The 2,525-nt window shown below is 40.4% G+C and overlaps 1 pseudogene; it reads left to right on the forward strand.

Moving 5' to 3' along the window:
- RPL23AP31 (ribosomal protein L23a pseudogene 31) lies at positions 287 to 820 on the forward strand (annotated as a pseudogene).

The following is a 2,525-nucleotide window of genomic DNA, read 5'->3' on the forward strand; positions in this document are numbered from 1 at the left end:
AAAACAAGATTTTCAGATAAAGGAAAATTGAGAGAATTTGTCACCAGCAGATCTCCCCTAAAAGAACAGATAGAGGAAGTTCCGTAAACAGAAAGGTAAAGACATGTAAAGGAAGGTAAGGTTTCTATACTTCATTTGTCGTGGTACTATGCTCAACCAGTAGACTGTGATAATTTAAGTCTATATATTGTAATACCTAAAGCAATTACTAAAAAAGCATAAAGAGATATACTCCAAAACACTACAGATAAACCAAAATGGATTTCCAAATAAATGTTCCAGTAACCCCTTTTCACAAGAAGGTGCCAAAAGTGAAGAAGAAAGCTCCTGCCCCTCCTAAACCAAAGCCAAAGTGAAGGCTTTGAAGGCCAAGAAGGCAGTGTTGAAAGGTGTCCACAGCCACAAAAAAAAAGATCCGCACGTCACCCACCTTCCGGCGGCCCAAGACACTGAGACTCTGGAGGCAGCCCAAATATCCTCAGAAGAGTGCCCCAAGGAGAAACAAGCTTGCCCACTATGCTATCCTCAAGTTTCTGCTGACCACGGAGTCTGCCATGAAGAAGATATAAAACAACAACATACTGTGTTCATTGTGGATGTTAAAGCCAACAAGCACCAGATCACACGGGCTGTGAAGAAGCTCTATGACATTGATATGCCCAAGGTCAACACCCTGATTAGGTCTGATGGAGAGAAGAAGGCATATATTTGACTGGCTCCTGATTACAATGCTTTGGATGTTGCCAACAAAATTGGGATCATCTAAACTGAGTCCAGCAGGTTAATTCTAAATATATGTATATCTTAACTTTTCACCATAAAAAAGTGTTCTAGTAACTAACAAGGAAAAGAAAACAGAAAGATAAAACAGAGGAAACAAACAGAAAACAGAAAATAAAATGGCAGGTAAACCATTAGACATAAATGGTTTAAATGCATCAATTAAAAGACAGAGATTGGTAGAGTGGAATAAAAAACATGACCAATTCTATATTGTCAACAAGAAATTCATTTCAAATATAAAAATATAGGCAGATTGAAAGTAAGCGAATGGAAAAAATATATCATGCAAACACACTCATCAAAAGAAAGAAGGTACCACTTGGTTGAGTTTATGGGGGAAAAAGAAAAGAGGAGTGGTTATATTAATATCATATAAAGTAAGGCCAGGTGCGGTGGCTCACGCCTGTAATCCCAGCACTTTGGGAGGCCAAGGCGGGTGGATCACCTGAGGTCAGGAGTTTGAGACCAGCCTGGCCAACATAGCGAAACGCCGACTCTACTAAAAATACAAAAAATTAGCTAGGCATGGTGGCGGGTGCCTGTAATCCCAGCTACTCGGGAGGCAGAGGCAGGAGAATCACTTGAACCCAGGAGGTAGAGGTTGCAGTGAGCCAAGATCCCGCCATTGCACTCCAGCCTGGGCAACAAGAGCGAAACTGAGTCTCAAAAAAAAAAAAAAATCATATAAAGCAGTCTTGAGAAAAAAAATTCCAGGGACAGAGAGAGATATTACTTACTAATAAAAGGGCCAATCTTATCTACAAAGAAGACATAGCAATTCAATCTACCAAGAAGACACAGCAATTCTAAATGTGTTTACATAAAACAGCAGAGCTGCAAAGCATGTGAAGCAAAAACTGATCAAACTGGAAAGAGAAATAGACAAATCTACAATTCTAGCTGGAGACTCCAACACCCCTTCATCAACAATTGATAGAATAAATAGAGAGAAATAGAAGAATATAGAAAAACTCTAGCACCGTCGACCAACTGGAGCTAACCAACACCAACAGAACACGGCACCCAACAACAGCGAACATACATTCTTTTCAAATGCCTACAAAATATATATCAGATACACCACATCCTGGGACATAAGACAAACCTTAACAAATTTAAAAGAATTGAAATCATACAAGTAGGTCCTCTGACTGCAATGGAAACCACTAACAGAAAGCTAGCAAGAAAATCCCCAAACACTTGATAACTAAACAACATGCTTCTAAATAATCCATGGGTTAAGATTCAAAGGAAATAAAAACTACATTGAACTGAATTAAATGAAAACACAACATACCAAAATCTGCGGGCCATGGCTAAAGCATTACTAGGAGGGAAATTTATAGCATGAAATACTTACATTAGAAAAGAGGGAGATGGGAGGCTGAGCGCAGTGGCTCATGCCTGTAATCCCAGAACTTTGGGAGGCCAGGGCGGGTGGATCACCTGAGGTCGGGAGTTCGAGACCTGCCTGACCAATATGGAGAAACCCCATCTCTACTAAAAATACAAAATTAGCTGGGCATGGTGGACCTGTAATCCCAGCTACTTGGGAGGCTGAGGCAGGAGAATCGCTTGAACCCGGGAGGCAGAGGCTGCAGTGAGCTGAGATCGCGCCATTGCACTCCAGCCTGGGCAACAAGAGTGAAACTCCGTCTCAAAAAAAAAAAAAAAAGAAAAAAAGAAAAAGAAGAAAAGAGGGAGATGGGAAAAGACATTTCTTTAGTAAGGTAGAAAGATAT

This window comes from Homo sapiens, chromosome 2 (genome assembly GCF_000001405.40).
Source record: "Homo sapiens chromosome 2, GRCh38.p14 Primary Assembly".
Lineage (NCBI taxonomy): Eukaryota > Metazoa > Chordata > Mammalia > Primates > Hominidae > Homo > Homo sapiens.